The sequence below is a fragment of the Homo sapiens genome, chromosome 17 (assembly GCF_000001405.40).
Source record: "Homo sapiens chromosome 17, GRCh38.p14 Primary Assembly".
In the NCBI taxonomy this organism is placed as follows: Eukaryota; Metazoa; Chordata; class Mammalia; order Primates; family Hominidae; genus Homo; species Homo sapiens.
This window is the reverse complement of record NC_000017.11, coordinates 31,347,890-31,367,591: the sequence shown is the minus strand read 5'-3', so window position 1 is coordinate 31,367,591 and position 19,702 is coordinate 31,347,890. Positions and strand designations below refer to the sequence as shown.

The 19,702-nt window shown below is 37.2% G+C and overlaps 1 protein-coding gene across 2 annotated transcripts in view, besides 4 other annotated features; it reads right to left on the bottom strand.

The window, feature by feature from the left end:
* Window positions 1-19,702, bottom strand: part of NF1 (neurofibromin 1) — a 282,699-nt gene that overhangs the window by 10,084 nt on the left and 252,913 nt on the right. For both annotated transcript variants that reach the window (NM_001042492.3, NM_000267.4), the window contains 9 exons: window positions 18,341-18,472; window positions 17,274-17,409; window positions 15,178-15,335; window positions 11,010-11,132; window positions 10,502-10,632; window positions 10,223-10,323; window positions 8,970-9,112; window positions 8,577-8,623; window positions 6,889-7,105 (listed from right to left, as the gene is read on the bottom strand). In NM_001042492.3, the coding sequence (NP_001035957.1) occupies window positions 6,889-7,105; window positions 8,577-8,623; window positions 8,970-9,112; window positions 10,223-10,323; window positions 10,502-10,632; window positions 11,010-11,132; window positions 15,178-15,335; window positions 17,274-17,409; window positions 18,341-18,472 (1,188 nt within the window). The remainder of the gene's footprint in view (window positions 1-6,888; window positions 7,106-8,576; window positions 8,624-8,969; window positions 9,113-10,222; window positions 10,324-10,501; window positions 10,633-11,009; window positions 11,133-15,177; window positions 15,336-17,273; window positions 17,410-18,340; window positions 18,473-19,702) is intronic.
* Window positions 15,877-16,189: a mobile genetic element, noted in NCBI's record as "direction; reverse".
* Window positions 15,936-15,961: a non allelic homologous recombination region, noted in NCBI's record as "UAB-72 proximal recombination sub-region". NCBI's record gives the evidence for it as "EXISTENCE:nucleotide sequencing assay evidence [ECO:0000219][PMID:26189818]".
* Window positions 16,002-16,011: a non allelic homologous recombination region, noted in NCBI's record as "UAB-30 distal recombination sub-region". NCBI's record gives the evidence for it as "EXISTENCE:nucleotide sequencing assay evidence [ECO:0000219][PMID:26189818]".
* Window positions 16,020-16,029: a non allelic homologous recombination region, noted in NCBI's record as "UAB-83 distal recombination sub-region". NCBI's record gives the evidence for it as "EXISTENCE:nucleotide sequencing assay evidence [ECO:0000219][PMID:26189818]".

The window sequence follows — 19,702 nt, the reverse complement described above, 5'->3', positions numbered from 1 at the left end:
CGTATTCTGCTCTTTCTCTATTAACTCTCTCTTGAGTTTCTTATTAACCTGCCTTTGTTAGTCCAGGTATGGGATTGCATCTTCATTGTTCTGGGTGGGTATTAGCAGCTCCTTAAACAAGACAGGCCACACACTGGCCGTGCAATTCCTGTTAAGTACCAAGACCTTATAAAGTGGTGGCTTTACAAGTTCCTAAAGTGCCTAAGGCAGACTGAGCTTACAGGGACCGGTGAGTAAAGTCTCATGCTATGTGCCCAGGATGAGTGTGGGGTAAGCAGTATTTTCGTGCAAAGATGATGAAAATAAAGAGTACCTTGATGAGGGAACAGCTGCATGAAAACTGCTGATTTAGAGCAAGGCAGAGAAGCTTTACAAAGAATGGAAGAAAAAAAAGCAAGTAAGTGATGTTCATAAGATTTAAAAAAGGGTGAAATACAATTAGATACTAGATAATTATAATGTTCCTTGGTTTTCAGAAGGAATCTGGTTTTAATTATTGAATTCTGACCATTAATTTCCTAAATATTACAGTTGGTAAATAAATGAGAGAACTTACAACTTTGTAGATGTATTTTTTTACCACTTATATTAAAATTAAGAATTTTAGTTTAAATTAAGAATTAAGCTAAAAATTAGATTTAAAAATTAGCAAGAATTATACCAAGAAATCGCTCAATTTAAAATTATTTTTCTCCCTTAAACATAGGATAATAACAAAGAAAAAGAAAACAAATCAAGAAAAAAAGGTCAGGTAATACCATAAACAATTCTCTAAAACATTAAAATCATTTCAGAGATCTTAAGTGGCCTCAAAATAGAGACTTCTAGGTTTCTTCTAAAAGGGAGATATTTCTTTTCCTTCTTTTAAAAGACGAGGGTCTCATGATGTTGCCCAGGCCAGACTTGAACTCTTGGGCTCAAGCAATCCTCCCACCTCAGCCTCCCTAGTAGCTGGGACCACAAGCATGTGCCACTGTGCCCAGCTAAGAGGGAGATATTTCAAACCTAGTAAACAGAAGTATTACTGACTCAGAGCCAAGTCTAAGTTTAGAGCAATGGTTTAGATGAAATATCCCTCCGTACACAGAGCTATCAGCACTATTGGTTTAGGAATGTTATGATCACTACCTGATCTAGCCAGCTTCTCAGGAAGAAGGTCTACATTACAGAAGCAAAGTGAGAGAATGACTGGTAGGCTTGGACCAAGGCCAGAAATAAAAATGGAAGAAGGGAGTCTAAAGTAACGATGAACTAAGTATGTCTTTGTTCTAAAAAATTCACGCACCAATACTAACAGTAAAATGAGCTGATCAAACAAAAAAAAGTTAAAGCCTTTTTCCTAGTAAAAAAAAATTTTAGGCCAGGTGCGGTGGCTCATGCCTGTAATTCCCAGCACTTTGGGAGGTGGAGGTGGGAGGATCACAAGGTCAGGAGTTCGAGACCAGCATGGCCAATATGGTGAAACCCTGTCTCCACTAAAAATACAAAAATTAGCCAGGCATGGTAGTGGGTGCCTGTAGTGCCAGCTACTCAGCAGGGTGAAGCAGGAGAATTGCTTGAACCTGGGAGGCGGAGGTTGCAGTGAGCTGAGATCGTGCCACTGCACTCCAGCCTGGGTGACAGAGCAAGACTCCATCTCAAAAAAAAAAAAAAAAAAATTAAATAGATCACGAATTTACTTGTTTTGTTTAAAAACATTTTTGAGGTGAAAAATGTGTTATAAAACTTTTGCCATAATTATTACATGATCCTTCCACACAAATGTCCCTTTGAACTATCAGAATACTATATAGTACAAGGTACAACATGACAGGTATCACAATAGAGGTCAAAATAGTTATCTATGTACATTCTACTGCCCGTTCTGATCTGAAATATATTGAAGGCAGGTATCATGCCCTGGCAGCCCCTCTGCTCCCCTGGGGTCTAAGAGCCCCTTGCATATAGTAAACAATACATATATGTAGGATAAATATCTGGAATTTTGGTATTTTCTACAGTGCACTATAGTATTAATCTTGTATTTAAAATAAAAAAAATAGTGCACACTTAGAATTTGTTAAACAACATGGATCGGAAGGAAATAACTTTCAAGGCAAAAACCGTCAAGTCTCTGGTGATCAAGGATTCTAATACATACTTAACATACACCTACAAAACAGGTATTCAAATGTTTATTGAATTAACTTACAACAATTCTCCTCTGAAGAATATCAGAAGACCCTGATAAAGTATATATTAAATTTTAATGCTTTGGAAATGGATCCTATTAATTCATTTTCTTTCTTTCCTTCTTTTTTTTTTTTTTTTTTTGAGATAGGTTCTCAATCCCTGACTGGAGTGCAGTGGCATGATCACAGCTCACCACAGCCTTGACCTCTCCGGCTCAGGTGATTCTCCCACCCCAGCCTCCCAAGTAGCTGGGACTACAAATGCATGCCACTACGCCTGGCTAATTTTTCTATTTTTGTAGAGATGGGATTTCGTCATGTTGCCCAGGCTGGTCTCAAGCAATCCACCTGCCTCGGCCTCCCAAAAGTGTTAGGATTACAGGCGTGAGCCACCGCACTCAGCCTGGGTTTCATTTTCTAGTTCTAATTCTGGTTCTTCAATTCATGTCCAGCTCAGCTAGACTGGACCTAATAAGGATCATAATATCAAACCTGAAATATCCTTATATATCATAAAGTAAATGGATTCTCTTCAAGATGCTCTTATTGGTGTTTGGGAAAATCCTAAGAGCCAAAGTCTTACATCCATTTGCCTAAAGGGTCACAGTCAATGCAATTCTATATGCACTGAATCCCAGGTACAGTCACTGGCTCCACTGATGCCAAATTCAATTTCTACTAGGGAGGGATTCAGAAGACAACCATTTAGGTACTTTTATATGTAGACTTGTAAAACAGTCCCCCTTAGGATGGAGAATTAGGCTATGCTAATTTGTCAAGAAGAATGCATTTTCAGAGACAATTGCTTTATGTAAGTGACTACCACTTCTCCTCAAAGCTGGTAACTAACGAAATACTGCCCAAATGTTTAATTTAAGTAAGACCTAATGCTGGGGCAGGAGGGGGAGGAGGAGAGGTTCATGAATCTCTTATTTTGTTGATTTGCTAGTAGAAAATGTTGGACAAAAGAAAATACAGCTCAGTAGCTGATCCTGCTAAACATCAAAGATCTAGAATGAAGAGTTTTGCATTGACATGAAACATTTATAGCAAAGGATTGAATGCGTGCAGATCAGCAACATTTGCTTTTTGAAATAGGGCAATGGAACCTTTATCTGTTTAAATCTCAGTTGACTAAGTATAGGTTGATGTTGGGTAATTTGATGGTAAATCAAACTTATGCTCCATATCGGGGAATGACAGAGAACTTCTTTCAATACTACTGCTTGAGACTTGGCTGCTGGGAATGGAGATAAGGAAATGTTTTGGTTTCTATACAGCTAAACAGCAAAGTTGAAACGCCAGACTGAGTTAGGAATCTGGACAACTTTCTTTTGGTTTTTTGATATAAGCAAACTCAACGCCATAAAGAAATGAGATGGCTGAGCGCCGTGGCTCAAGCCTGTAATCCCAGCACTTTGGGAGGCTGAGATGGGTGGATCACCTAAGGTCAGGAGTTCGAGACCAGCCTGGTCAACATGGGGAAACCGGGTTTCTACTAAAAATACAATAATTAGCCAGGCGTGGTGGTGTGCACTTGTAATTCCAGCTACTAGGGAGGCTGAGGCAGGGGAATAGCTTGAACCAAGGAGGCAGAGGTTGCAGTGAGCCAAGACTGCGCCACTGCACTCCAGCCTGGGCTACTGAGCGAGACACTGTCTCCAAAGGGGGAAAAAAAAAAAAAATGCTGGGCGCAGTGGCTCACGCCTGTAATCCCAGCACTTTGGGAGGCTGAAGTGGGTGGATCACGAGGTCAGGAGATCGAGATCATCCTGGCTAACACCATAAAACCCCATCTCTACTAAAAATACAAAAAATTAGCCAGGTGTGGTGGTGGGCGCCTGTAGTCCCAGCTACTCGGGAGGCTGAGGCAGAAGAATGGCATGAACCTGGGAGGCAGAGGTTGCAGTGAGTCGAGATCGCACCACTGACTCCAGCCTCGGCGACAGAGCGAGACTCTGTCTCAAAAAAAAAAAAAAAAAAAGAGAGAGATAAGGATATAAGATTACATGGAGCTAAAGATATGAAGCAATATACCTAATTATAAACAAAAGATCAACTCTTACCATTAAGAGTTATTCTGTAAGAGCAAATGACAAAAACTCAGTGATTGGGCATATAAATTGGGATCCTTTTGTGAACATGAGCCTGTAATTTAGAGATACAAATGGGTTTTGTGGGAGAGTAAGGTTACTTTTGAAAAGATAAACCCTTTCTCTGAAAACATGTAGTAAAATAAACTGTCAAACCAATGACACACAATTGAGTGACAGGAAGAGTTGAACACCACAATACCACTTAACTCTATTACTTTTAAACCTCCTCATCTCTTCTGTGTATAGTCAGAGATTTCCAGCCTGAATAAAGGCACCAACTTTGGAGAGCTAATGGAGGTGACACCATTAGTTTGAAACTGGAACCAAAGCCATAAAACCTATTCTGATTTTAATAAACAATTTTAAGTAAAAGGTTGTAGAGTAAGACTGTTTCACCAAAGCAAATGATTTGGCAAATAGCCAATCAACACTGGACATATGCAACTAATCAAATAGCAGAGAAACCTGTAATGGTTCTTTATTCTCATCCAGATTATTTTATTGTCTCCATTAGTGGGCAAAGATAGGCAGAAATTTCCCTACAATTAGACTGGGTAAAAAAAGTCAATAAAAAAACTAACCATTTTTGACATGTTTAACACCAGTTTAGTAGCCCAAAAGGCAAAAGCTTGGTTAAGATGAAGCAGACTTTTAAAAACTTTTCAACTTCTGTTCAGTAACCCAGAAAATAGTCCAACAGAAAAAAAAGAACTGGTGGGCTTAAGGCAAGGCAGACAGAAGTAATGAATTAGCAATAAACAAACAAAAACAAGGAAATAAAGAAGGAGAAGGGAAAGTAGATAGATAATCAAACAGACAACAGCCATGGAAGGCAATGAATGTAGTACAAAAGGGCCTGGCCTTGGTTCTAGATAAGAACTGTATAAAGCAGTTAACCCAGCTCTTCTAAAACTCAGTCTCCCCAATGTACACAATATTGTGAGCCTAAAACTAAATTACCTGTATGGTTCCCTAGCTCCAAAATGCTAAAAGGTTTATCAGCGGGGAAGCAGGAAGGAATTCAGTGGCTGCAGTATCTGTAAAAAAAGTAAATTTTAAGTTTTGCCCTGGCCTTCACAGCTGAAATGCTGATAATGGGCAAGACCAGAAGCAGACCCCAGGGCAGTGCTTCTCCAATTCTAGTGTGTGTAAGAATCGCCTGGGGTATTTATTAACACACTGACTGCTGGCTGGGCTCTACTTGGGAGTTTTTTGTGCAGATCTGAGGTGAAACTACAGCATCTGCATTTCTAACAAGCTCCCAAATGATGCTGCTGGTCTGGGATCACACGTGGAGAAACACTGTACTAGAGAGTTAGTGGCAGAGGGCAAACAAACCTTGTTACATGGGAAAAAAAGTTAGACTTCTCTTACTTCTGGGGGAAAAAAGGATTACTTGTAAGGCGACTGACAAATGTGGAAATAAAATTTGTTTCCTCTGCTGACCAAAGCTTTGTTGTTAAGCAGAATTTAATAGAATATAGTTAATTACATAATAGTTTATAATATGAATTGGGTATTGCCAAATTCTTCAGAACCTTCAAAATTACATAAGTTGAAATGTTCATGCAAAACTGAGATCATAAACTGGGAATTCTATTTATTGATCTTGAATATCACAGAATAGTTATGTCATTGGATTTTTTTTAAATTTATGCTAACACTTAAAAGAACTATATATAGTAACTTTTCCTTATACAATGATGTGTTTCATAAGTGAACTTTTCAGATAATGGAACGTTAAACAACTAAAGTTTCTTTTATTTTTAACCATTTTAGAAGAATATCTTTCTAAATAGAAAACACAACCATAACAAAAGCTTTCCTTCATTACTCACTGTCATAATAACACACACAATAGTTTAAGTTCTATAATGAATAGCACCTCCAGGGTCAACCAGAGTTGTATGAAACCATTCACTATGACACTGAATAAGTCCAGAGTTCTGTAGGTTTGCCATTTCTCCCACCTTGTTTATCTCAGTCCCACTGGAGCTATTAGCTATTAGTATTTCTCAGTGTATTCAAATCTAAGTTGCATTACGAATTGGTATATATATGCTTATGGGCTTTAAGATGTTATTTTCTTGAGATGAATTTTTTGTTTGATTATTTATTTACTTCCAGATTTTCAGGATGGTCTATGGATGGTTGAGTTATTGCTGGCAGCAGGAAAGTGAGGTACCTAATAGATTTTGTGTTTCTTCTTCTTCTTCTTTTTTTTTTTTTTTTTTTTTTTTTTTGATATAGTATGCTGTATCAGAGACAGAGAAAGAGGCCCTTAGGGCAATGTTAGTATATCTAGTAAATAAATTATAGTTCTGTTCACTTACAGAATAATGTGTTTTAAGTTCCTCTTCCTGCCCAAACTCTACAAACTTGTCAACCTTGGAATATCATGTGGACATTTTAACATTTTACTGTCTTATGTACAACTTGTTTGAAAGTAGAAAGCTTCATAGAATAACAAAAGTCAAGTCAGTTACAAGGTAAAGAAGAAATGTAAGGTGAATCTCATAAGAAAAAGGAGCAAAATTTGCTATAAACTGATCACAAGGGAATTCCTAATGTTGGTGTCTTATATTGTTGCTCAAAGTCATATAAAGATCACATTTACTGACCTGGGGAATGCTGGGAAGTTGCAAGTGAGGTCATGGAATTAGAAAGGTTAAGGTTGGCAGTGATACTAAGCTGGCTCTGCAGTGCAGGAGGGTAAGGAGATGTGGGAGTCAGGAGGGATTCTTCACTGGTTTCTTCATCAATTCCAGGCAGGTACGTGTCAATCAAGGCATCAAGAAACTTAACAATAAGCTCAGCATAGTCTGGAATTTGTGTTTGCTGTAATGGAAAATAGGAAATTATTTTAGTTCCTTTTTTTTAAGTAAATCCCCATCTGAAGCCAAAAATATTAATTTTGTTTGGACTTAATTTACTATTTTTCTTCCTTTGTATTACTTATCATTAAAAAAGGGGAGTGGAGTAATATTTATAGACTACCATAGGACTTACAACAGGGAGTTCTATTCAGCTTAAAGCTTCCAGATGAACCTGCATTTTCTGAAAGCCATGCACAAGACAGACTGAATGTAATACTGAGACAATACAATCACCAGGAATGATGTCTAGCCAATTTTCCAAAACAGAGAAAATGAGCAGAGCATCATCATTCCAGCTGCCATTTAGATTCCACTCACTAGACACTGTAAAGGGCTCAGAGGGTTACTGGCAATCCAAATGCAAAAACTTCTGTATGATATACTTATTTCTGTAACTTCAGGCCCATTTTTTAAGTGACAACCTTTGCATGTTGACAGATATTCAAGTAATAGTGAAAGGAAATAAATAAAATACCCAATTCTTAAAAACTGGAACAAGGTTTATACAATTCATATTGATTTAGCACCCCCTGTATCTAAAACACTGCACCAGGAACTGTTTAAGGAAGAAACAGAAACCCTGTCTTCAAGGAACTTTGATCAATTTGGAGAGAGCCCACATACAGAGAAAATGATCATATACATCTTATGTAGCACTACATAAACTAATGCCAATCAAAAAACAAACTGAGGCCAGGTGCGGTGGCTCATGCCTGTAATCCCAGCACTTTGGGAGGCCGAGGTGGGCAGATCACGAGGTCAAGAGATCAAGACCATCCTGGCCAACATGGTGAAACCCTGTTTCTACTAAAAATACAAAAATTAGCTGGGCGTGGTGCTGCATGCCTGTAGTCTCAGCTACTCGGGAGACTGAGGCAGGAGAATCGCTTGAACCTGGGAGGCAGAGGTTGCAGTGAGCCAAGATTGCGCCACTGCACTCCAGCCTGGAGACAGAGTGAGACTCCGTCTCACAAAACAAACAAACAAACAAAAAAACTGAATAAGAGCAAATGAGGACAAATCCAGAGAGAAATTAATCTAATCTAATAGGCTGGAAATAAAAATGTTTTCATGAAATAGATTTTAACCATGGTAATGCTCCTTGCTAGTCATAAGATATCTAACTGTGTGCATTAAGATTATCAAATACACAAGGGACTGTGGCAGAAAAGTATCACAGAGGTTTATCATACTCTTCTGAAAAATTGATCATAAGTTGACTTTGTTTGTAAAAGTGAATACACACACCCCAACACCATGCTGCCTCCTGGAAAAAAACCTTGTGATGAGAAACTTTTTATAAAAGTAACATATGTGTTTATTGTGAATTATTTTTCTGGTTTTCAGCACATTGTGTGTTCTTAAAGCAGGCATACTAATTTGAACAGAAACCTTCATTTTGCCAAAAGTTAGAGAAAAATATATTTTCTTACCTTTGAAAACGGTCCTGCAAACCGCCACAAGCCATTAAAACCAAAACCTGCAACAAATCAAATTTTACTCTTATAACAAGCAAGGTATCTTTTAATTGTAACAGAAATTAAATAAGTCATATAGCTGATGATATATAAACCCTATGTACATGTTGAAAACATGTTTTTAGAATGAGTGTCAAAGCAACTAAAACCTACTTAAAATATACTCAGCATAAAAAGTTGTCAACCAGTTACATTGGACATACAGTTGAGAGAGTAAAAAAATGGAATATGGAAATAAAAGTATGAACAAGTCTATCCCTTATAAAGAATTCTGTAGTCAGTGCATTCTACAACAGCGCGCATGTTAGCAAGTTCATCAACCATCCTTCTCCAGATACATTTATTTACTTTGCAGGTAAGATGTTTGGTATTGTGGTGGGGATTCTTCATGGTACACCACACTCTGCACAATTCCATGGATTGGATTTAACAAATTTGGATCTTGGCACAATGATAACAGGGTGTTGATCTTAGAGTCCAACAAATTATGCCTAAAAGAAAAAAAAAGTCAACAGAGGAACATTTTAGAGGAAAATTAAATGAAAATATGTAGTGGAAAACATAATATACATTCCCCAGAATAATGTGCCAAAATTAAAGGGAGATGAGTGCTTTTTACTTTCTGGGGCATTTCTTCATTTTCCAAATTTTCTACAATGAACATGTGTGTGTGTCTGTTTTTGTTTGTCTTTTGTTTTTAGTCACCAGGGAAGAAATTGTGAAAACAAACAACTGGTAGTGTCATATAACCATGTGTAACCATATACGGTAAATGTTTGCTTAAGACAAGGTTGGCTCTGTCTGCTACTTAGCATGTTTTAGTACTATTTCCATCTGTTGTATACTGACATGCGCTTAGGAAGTTAAAACTAAATTTAGGATCTGTGCAAAACAAAAAGAAAAAAATTAAATTTAATGTTAATCAGTGCTTTTAAAATGCTGAGTCAGATCAAATAGGGAAAGCAAAATAGTTTAGAGGGAGTGAAATACATGATCCAACTGAAACTTAGGAAAAAAATTATTTCTAACCCGGCTACACTCCATTAATAAAAATAACTGAGTTCTAACTCTCTAAAATTCTAACATGAGATTAAAAAAAGAAAATAATGACATGATATAGAAGGCCTAGATCAGGAAAAGAATTTATTTGAACTATTTAAATTTGAACACTTTGAGGTTAATATTTTTTAGTCCTTAAGAGAGAGTAAACAATTCACCTCCTAAACAGAAGGTCAATTTTGTTTTCACTCAGCTGTGGATAAATACAAAAGCTCTACTAAAAAGTAAACCAAAACAGATATGCTGATTTAGATATAGCAGTCTAATAGTTTGCTTCTAAGTGAGGAAAATGAGCAATGATCATCAAAATAAACCACTTAAATAAATCAACCAGATTTTTTAAAAGTCTTTCCTTATAAACTTTCTAATAGATCTAGTAGGTCAAAACTAATCTTAACCCTCATTAAACCTACTGTCTCAAAGCTAAAATCACTATCACAATATCTCATTTTGCCCTCTTTGCAACCAGTGCACATTACTGGGTAAGCATTTAACTTAAAGACAGGCACGAAGGTGAATTAAAATCAAAAGGAGATACTTACACAACAGGAAAGACTTTGGGAAACACAACACTGGCCTCTGCTAAGTATTCATAAAGAATTCGTTGATCAAACTCATCTGTGGTATATTTTACCAGTGTAGCCTGCCAAGATGCAAAAAAGTAAACACACAACATTTTTACTTTGTGGCTGAATTGTTATCTGTTTGGGTGAGAAGTAGAAGACTGTATCCTATTCATGTTTTTAATATTTAAGGGCCTCCTAAAAGTAGACTGGAATAAAAATTTGAGGGTGGGGGACTCAAAAAGGGGAAATCCTTACTAGAACAGTAAGAAGCAGCGCCTGGATCTTCGGATCAGTAAGTACTTCTTCATCCAAGAGAACATTTGATTCAGACACTGAAACTTTACGTAAATGTGGGTGCTGTTGTGATGAGGAAATCCTCTGAGTTTCTGCAGCAAGATAGGGAATTAACGTGATCAAACACCTGGATAATCACTTCACCTAACTATTTCAATGTTACTTCTAAAATTCAACAGCTTTCTTTAGTAGATACTTAAAATACTAACATAAACATCATAGAGAATTACTATTCGCCTACACAAAAGTTTTGGCTACCTATTTACAATGCTGTATATAATATATATGATTAATTTTTACACAAGCTTCAAGATAACTGTCTTGAATGGTAGAGTTTATCTTTTGAGAAATGGCAAACGTTTCTATATTTCACTCTAAAGATTCTAAGAAATGGCTGGAAAATAAACATGACTTTCATGTACTCTCCCACCTTATTTTCAATGATCTAGATCAATACTTTGTTTCTCACCCATTTCATAATCAGTTTCTGCTACTCTCCTCATTTTGGGGGGTGTTGTGATCCCTGATTCCATTTCTTGCCTTTTAGGAGCCTTTGTGTCTGATATCAAGTGATCAAAACTTTTCCTTGTTCCTATAAACAAAAGTTAAGAATATGCAAGTTCATTAACTACAGTGTCTATAAATGGGAATACACTAAAAAGAAAATGTTTGGACATAAAGTGTTTAAGCTTTCACTGAGGACTCAAAGAAAGCTCTAATACATCCCTGGAGCAGTTTCTTTCCTTTATTTTCCATCTTCTCAAAGGGTTTTGTTCCCATAGCTTTCTGTTTCAGGATAGGTTGCACCTTACTGGTGCAAATTAAACTGAGATTGTATTCTGTACACTGGAGGTAAACCAAACTACACTGGAGGTAAATCAACAAATATGATAACTGATAATAAATGCAATGGTAGGCATTATTCAGTAGCAAAGGTCAACTATGTCTGACCAGTCTTTTCAGTTTAAGAAACGCTGCTGGTGCCAAGAACTACTCATTAATACATGAGTAATTTCCAAGCTTAGGAAGAAAGCAGAGTTTGATTTTAATTTTTTAAGCTTTGAAAAAAAGATATGCATGCCTGAAAATACTAAAAACCAGATACACTGGGAGATGCTTCAAAAATAGCAAGTAGCATTATCTCCCATTTGGCTTTTAGTTTCTCTAATCATGTAATCATGTATTAACACTATTTTTTTCTTTTGATAGGGTCTCGCTCTGTGGCCCAGGCTGGAGTGCAGTGATATGATTTCAGCTCACTGCAACCTCCACATCCTGGGCTCAGGTGATCCTCCCACATCAGCCTCCCCAGTAGCTGGGACTACAGGCACACACTACCACACCCAGCTGATTTTTCTATTTTTAGTAGAGACAGGGTTTCTCCATGTTGCCCAGGCTGGTCTCGAACTCCTGGGCTCAAGCAATCCACCTGCCTTGGTCTCCCCAGAGTGCTGGGATTACAGGCATGAGCCACCATGCCCGGCCAACAGTATTATTTTATTAAAGCCAGAATTAAAGCCAATATAATAAAATCTGACAATTTAACACTTGAGAAATACAAAGTCTATTACCTCAAGAATATGAATAACTATTCATAATAGTCATAAATACCAAGGCCAAATAATTTAACAGTCCAAAGGGATCTAGTCCGGCTTCTTCGTTTCATGCACATGTACACTGATGAAGCCATGAGCAGTTAAGTAATTAGTCTGAGGTAGCATGGCTAGGGATCTAGACAATGACCAGATGGAAAACTCAGGTTTTCTAAAACCAGTCAGTGCTTTCCAAAGTACATGAGATTGGGACACTACTTTCTACATTTAGTTTTCCTTCCTTTCTCACTTGTCCTTTTTATTTTATTCTCTGCATTCTTCCTGGAAGATCTCATTCTGCTTCCATAGCTTCAACTATCTGTGAGCTAATCAATTCTAAATGTTTACTTGTTTACTTTCTTCCCGAATTCCAGGTACATCTTGTGGTTTATCTCTTAGATATATACTCATAGATGTCTTGAAAATATATCAAATGTAATCAACCTAAATTTATCATGTACTGTGAACGTATTAGTCCTGATCTCTATGAATGGTATCACTATCTAGACAGTTTTTAAAACTAAAAGCTTCTGACATCCTTCACAGTCTTCTCCCCTTCCCCACCTGCAACAATTGGTCACTAAGTCATGTCCATTGTACTTCAGAAACCTATTCCAAACCTGATTTTTGTTTTTTTTGAGACAGGGTCTGACTATGCTGCCCAGGTCAGCCTCAAACAATCCTCCTGCCTTGGCCTCCTGAGTTCCTGGGACTAGAGGTGTGTACCATTATGCCCAGCTCCAAACCTGCTGGTTCTTCTCCATTCTCCCATTGCTCCTGCATTAGTGCGGGGCCCACACCATTTTTTTTGCTTGGACTGCTATATCAATTTTATTAAATGGTTCCCTTGCTAAAAATCTCTTCCTGTCTCTCCACATTGCTGCTAGAAAAACTTGGCAAAAATTAAAATTTGGTCATGTTCTTCTCCTACTTAAATACCTCAGCTGAATGTGTGATAAGGGTAAATATCTTACCATGGCATACAGTCGTTTCCAATCGAGTTCTAGTCCTTCTTCTCATCTCATTTCCTACCCCATTCCCCATGATGCCATGATGTATCATCAGTTGCTTTCCTGCCTTTTCTTTATTCTTGCTATTCCCCACTGCTCTTAAACATATGCCCCTACTTATCCTGCTATTTTGCAAGCATATATTAAATCTTTATGACACAGCCCAAATGTTATCTCCTCTCTGCAGTTTTTTTTCTTCTAATTTCCCCAGATCTCCAGCTTTCTCCATCAAGACATATCATTTTAATGGCACCTGGAGTTGCTGTTGTGATTGGCTGATTATAAGTCTTGGACACAAATTACAAAGTCTTCCAGGGCAGTTACCTTATCTTTTTCACTTAGTACATGGGTTGAATGAATTCAATATATTTTTTTCTGAGGTTAGTTTTTCATTTACAACTTCATTGGCATGAAAATCCAGAATTACAAAACACAAAGTAACCAGGAAACTCCTAAATGATTATTTATGGCAAGGTACTAACAGAAGGGAACTCAAACAACAGTAACACACCTATGTGGCTAGTAACTGTGATTGACACATTCATGGTTTCTATTTCTTTCACGGTTTACTGGCACGTTATTTATGTTACAATTTGTTGTTTGTTCACTAATTTCCTTATGAACACAAACATTTTTCCAATACCTAAAGATACTTAAATATGTTTGCATGGATAACTGAAATCTGTTGAACCATTCAGTGCTGGCTACTGAAATACAGATCCTAATGTATTCCAGTAACAATTACAATTTTACCCAATGGAATGCAAGAACATCTCTGCATTTCCTCTGAGGAGCGATGTAAGATCAGTGTTTTTGTTTGTTTGTTTGTTTGGAGTCGGGGTCCCACTCTGTCACCCAGGCTGGAGTGCAGTGGTGCAATCTTGGCTTACTGCTACCCCCACCTCCTGGGCTCAAGTGATCTTCCCAAGTAGCTGGGACTAGAGGTGCTCGTCACCATGCCCAGCTAAGTTTTGTATTTTTTGTAGAGATGGGTTTTGTCATGTTGCCCAGGCTGGTCTTGAACTCCTGGACTCGAGCAATCCTCCCACCTGAGTCCCTCAAAGTGCTGGGATTATGGGCGTGAGCCACTGCACCTGGCCTAGTGGGTTTTTTCATTCATTTACTTTCAGTTACTAAAATGGAAATGAGTCTCGCAGCATTTCAGGTGTACTTCTCAGAGACAAAAATTCTATAAATGTTGATGTAACTGAGCAATCTTAATTTCAAGAATCCTATCTTCCGGCCGGGCATGGTGGCTCATGCCTGTAATCTCAGCACTTTGGGAGGCCGAGGAGGGTGTATCACCTGAGGTCAGGAGTTCAAGACTAGCCTGGCCAACATGGTGAAACTCTGTCTCTACTAAAAATACAAAAGTTAGCCAGATGTGGTGACGTGTGCCTGTAAACCCAGCTACTAGGGAGGATGAGGCAGGAGAATTGCTTGAGCCCGGGAGGCAGAGGTTGCAGTGAGCTGAGATTGCGCCACTGCACTCCAGCCTGGGTGAACAGAACAAGACTTCATATCAAGAAAAGAAAAAAGAAAAAAAAGAATCCTATTTTCTTTCGGTAATTGAGAAGCATGTCTTTTTGTCTTTTCAAAGAAAGCACGGCAAATAGTACTATTACAGCTTCATACCATATTCATATATTCTCTCAGATGATAATTTTGGGAAGTATTACAGTATATCATTAAATCCCCTGAGTGCAGCAAGACTCTTCCTTTCTTATAGGTATTTATCTAATATGTCTCAGAGTCCCATTCCCTGCTGGCCAGCAAAGGCAAAACAAAATAAGGAGAGTCACAATATTTAGTATAAGATTCAGAAAAAACTGTTTCAAGGTCCCATTCTCATTTCTCTATCTCAACTTATAATGCTTAACTGATCTATCAAACTCTCTTTTAAATGGCATCAAAAACTTTGCTACACTGACATGGAAAATTTTGATAATCCTGAAATTTCAAATAATTTTCCAAGAGTAAAAATATCTATTTTTTTAAATAATAAAAAAAATCTACATAATTTAGATAAACTAACCAAGCAACTTCTTAGTGTTGGCCTGAGAAGGTTGCCCCATGTCCAGGCTCATGGATTTCCTGGCTCGGGGACTGGTCTGGCCGACAGTTGGATAGGTGGCTGCAAGGTATCCTTCAGAACCTTTGGGAGAGGACCATGGCTGAGTCTCCTTTAGTGTCCTGAAAGATGAAAACAATAGAGAAAAATCAATTAATATGGTGACAAATACAACCATCGTTTGCTCCTTCCAAGTGGCTGTCCTATTTCCTAACAACAGCAATCAATTAATTTTAAAATTGCACTTTAAAGGGCTTTAGGATACAAACTCTTGGTGTATCCCTAGGAATTATCAACTTTCTTGCCATAGTATCTTGCACATAGTAGGTACTCACCAAATGCTGAACAAAAAGATCTGTACTGCAATTTTTAAAAGCTGACAAATAAAAAGGTATAGCAACAGGGGTGTCCAATCTCTTAGCTTTCCTGGGCCACACTGGAATTAGAAGAATATACTGGGCCACATATAAAATACACTAACACTAACTACAGTTGATGAGCTTAAAAAAAAAAAAAAACCCCAAAAAATCACTTAATGTTTTAAGAAAGTTTACAAATTTGTGTTGGGCTGCATTCAAAGCCATCCTGGGCTGCGTGCGGCCTGCAGGCCATGGGTTGAGCAAGCTTGGTGTACAACATGATGTTTTAAAATATGTTTACATTGGCTGGGCGCTGTGGCTCACGCCTGTAATCCCAACACTTTGGGAGGCCGAGGCAGGCGGATCACCTGAGGTCAGGAGTTCAAGACCAGCTTGCCCAACATGGTGAAACCCCATCTCTACAAAAATACAAAAATTAGCTGGGCATGGTGGCACGCGCCTGTAATCCCAGCTACTCGGGAGGATGAGGCAGGAGAATCGCTTGAACCCAGGAGGCGGAGGTTGTAGTGAGCCGAGATTGTGTTACTGCACTCCAGCCTGGGCGACAGAGCAAGACTCTGTCTCAAAAAAAATTAATAAAGAAAAATAAAAATAAATAAAATGTTTACATTGTAGAATGGCTAAATCAAGCAAATTAACATATGTGTTACCTCATATATTTATCTTTTGTGGTGAGAATACTTAAAATCTACTCGTAGCTATTTTCAAGTATAAAATACATTAACTGTAGTTATGTTGATAAAAGACCTTGAACTTATTGCACTGATTTTTTTTAAATCAGAAAAAATTAAGTCTAAATAGGCAATTGTTTAAAAACCAAGAAAATCAGATATTAATTTATACTTTGACAGGGGAACACAGGCAAACTATTTTACCCTTTCTATAACAAAAAGGGCATATCTCAAAGTAATATAATAATGGGACTGACGAAAGTAAGACTATTGAATACCATGTTTGAAAAATTTTTGCGTACATTGTTAGAATCTTAAGGAAATTGTTGAAGTCTTTTTATCAAAAAGCAGGATGTTGATAAATGGAATGATACGAGTTTTGCGAACAGAAGATAACTTTTCTGTGTTCAACACTGTCCCTAAACCTTAAAGATATTTTTATTTAATTGAAAATACAGAAAAATCCCCCAATGATGCCATTTTCATGAAATTTCTCTAAATTATACTGAAAAATATACTACCCAAACCCATGTATAGCAGATATAATTTTTACCATCTATGTCTACATTATAGAAAACTTTTAAATAACTTGTGTGATATGAGTAAATACAACAAATGTGTTAGCATGCCTGTATTTTTACAAATCTGTATAGATTCGTTCTCTATCCAAGCACGTAATGTGTTGTTTATATTTCGCGTTAGTTTTTTTCCCCAGGCCCTTCCCCTGCAACCTAATATTTTCAAGAGCATCTCTTTTCATTGTTCATTTGGTCTGTGCTTCAGAGGCAAACTAATGTTAACATTAGCACAATCAGACTGGAAGAATAACTTTCCTACTAACCCACATAAAATACCACACATTTATAAAATGAGTTTCACTTACTCTTCCTAGGCCATCTCTAGATTTCTCCCATGTTACCTTCTAGATTACTCTGCTGCTTGCCTCCATTAGTTGGAAAATTGAAACTTGATTATGATTATGTAATTATAGGAGAGTAAATCCACTTACCTATAGGAAGGGTCACCATGATGAATGGGATATGTATCCATAGGAACATTTTCCATTGAAATATCAGTAAGAAGAAGTGACTTTCTATGTTTTAGGCTGCAGCGACTTCGAACTTCTTCAGACACTGTAAGTAAAGCTAAAAGGAAAACGGTGGCAGGTTAAAAAATTTAACAAATCACAAGTGTGACTTAAAACAGGATGAACTTCTTACAGTCTCCTAAAGAGCATAGTACCTGTTAAATGTGCACATATTTTGGAAGACTACATAAATGTGAAATATACAGAGAGATTTAATAAGCATCTTTTATTTTCCAAGTTCTTTAATATACATTTGATCTTTAACAAACACAAAGTAGGCAGGGCAGGTATTATTAAGCTGAATGAGAAAAAATACTGAGATGTTAAATGATTTGCTCAAGATGATACGGTTCAAACAAAAAAGTTGAACAAATACAAGTCTGTGAAACTGAGAATCAGCACTTTCTATCAAACAACTATGTTCAAGAATTGTATTGTACATAAGTGCTAAGTGTTGCTGAGTAGAGAAACAAAAATCAGATAAGAGCAAATAGGAAGCTTTAATGGAATGGTGGGGATAGGGCAGATACTCCAGATAAAATGACATAAGGAATGAATATTGAAGAGGCAGTTGCTTGTAGGAGATGGCAAGTAGATTAGCTTAAAATAGCTCATCCATTTGGAGTGGTAATAAAAAATGAGGCTCATGAAATTTAGAGAAAGATAACAGAACTGAGAGGGCTATTTAAGGACCCAGGGTGCTAGACTGAAGCATTCAGATTTTATGACAGATAACAGAGAGCCACTGTAGTGTCTTGAACCAAAGATGACCAAGGGAACACATTTCAGATTTTAATGGGAATTAAATTTTTTCCTACAGAAAAATGTTCTGGCAAAACTCTCAAAATTGTAACCACCACTAAAGGACTAGACTGTGAACTTTCTGCTCTGCCACGCAACCGCCAAAAAACCTATAGGTATTTGTACTTTTTGGGTGATCCTTATATATAGATGTAGCAAGATTAATTTTGTTTATTTTGTGTTTTTACCTGCTAAGTAGGCCACGCTCTGTGTATTCACTTCAAATTTGTCACAATTTCTGTGTTTGTTAACCAGAGTTAGTAGTGTATGTAAAATTCTGACTGTTCTTGCAACAATAGCAGGTGAAGGATGCCTGTACCCTACAAAAAACAAACAAACAAACAAACAAACAAGTAAGAATTAATTTTTTGAACAAGCATCTGCTGAGGTCTTCTTCCCTGACTAACAACTCTGCAAGGAAAGGAAATATAACTCCTACTTTCCAAGAATAGCCATTTGGGAAGGTAAAACATGCATATGTGAATGAGAATAATTAATTATGTATAAGATTAAGTACCAAAAATGTGTAGAATATAATATTCCCTAGAACTCTACAGTACTCCAGGAAGAGGAAAATTAAAAAACATGATAGTCTTTCAGATCTTCTATTCCCTAAAGCAGCACAGAGATTAAAAAAAAAAATCTATGTATTATAATTCTCCTTAAGATTTCATTTGAAAATAGGGTTCTTTTACAAAAACATTTTTTTTTTTAAGAAAAGATGTCCCTTTAATTTTACTTTTGTCAAAACATTTTCAAGATTACTTTAATTTTTACAATATCAGTTAAGGGAAAACTAGTGAGTTTGTTGAAGAAAACAAGAAACAGATTTTTTTAAAGCCATTGACCACGAAATAAGCATTATGTTTCAAAGACCATGAAAAAGTTATTTGTCTCTTTTTGGTCTCAACTAGCGAGGGAGGTGAGACCAAACTGCTCAACTGCTGGACAATCTCAGCAAACACACCCACTGTTGAGACTTATTGAGTGACTCAATGTTGGCTAGAATTGTCCATTTAGCTGGAGGGGAAGAGGGAGGGAAGGATGGATGGAGGAGTGAAGTATGGAAGCAGGGATCAGGCCACTTCCCGTACCTCTCCCAAACTCCAAAGGCAATGATCACATTGGAGGGTCAGCTAAACACAAAGGGAAGTGAAGAAAGAAGTTTGAAGATTTTCCTGTTTCCAAAAATCACATACTTTCCTCTTTTGAGTATTCTATAGAATAACTCTCTACATTTCCTAGTTTGTGGAAATTTTCTCTATGGCATAACTACTCTAAATTGTGCAATTTTCCTTCCTCATATCAGACTTATTTTTCTCTATACCTGGTTCCCTAGCAAACCTGAGCTTTATTTATATATCTGATATGCACCCCATCTCCACAGCTGGCATTCAATTGCAACTCTAAATTCTAAAGTGCTCAGAGTCAATATAATGCACTGACGATTCAGACCTGACTGGGCATTTTCACTGCATAAATCTAAAAAGTAAACAATCTCATTATGTTTGAGAGGATGGATGGGGAGAAGACTGATCTATATTTCCACT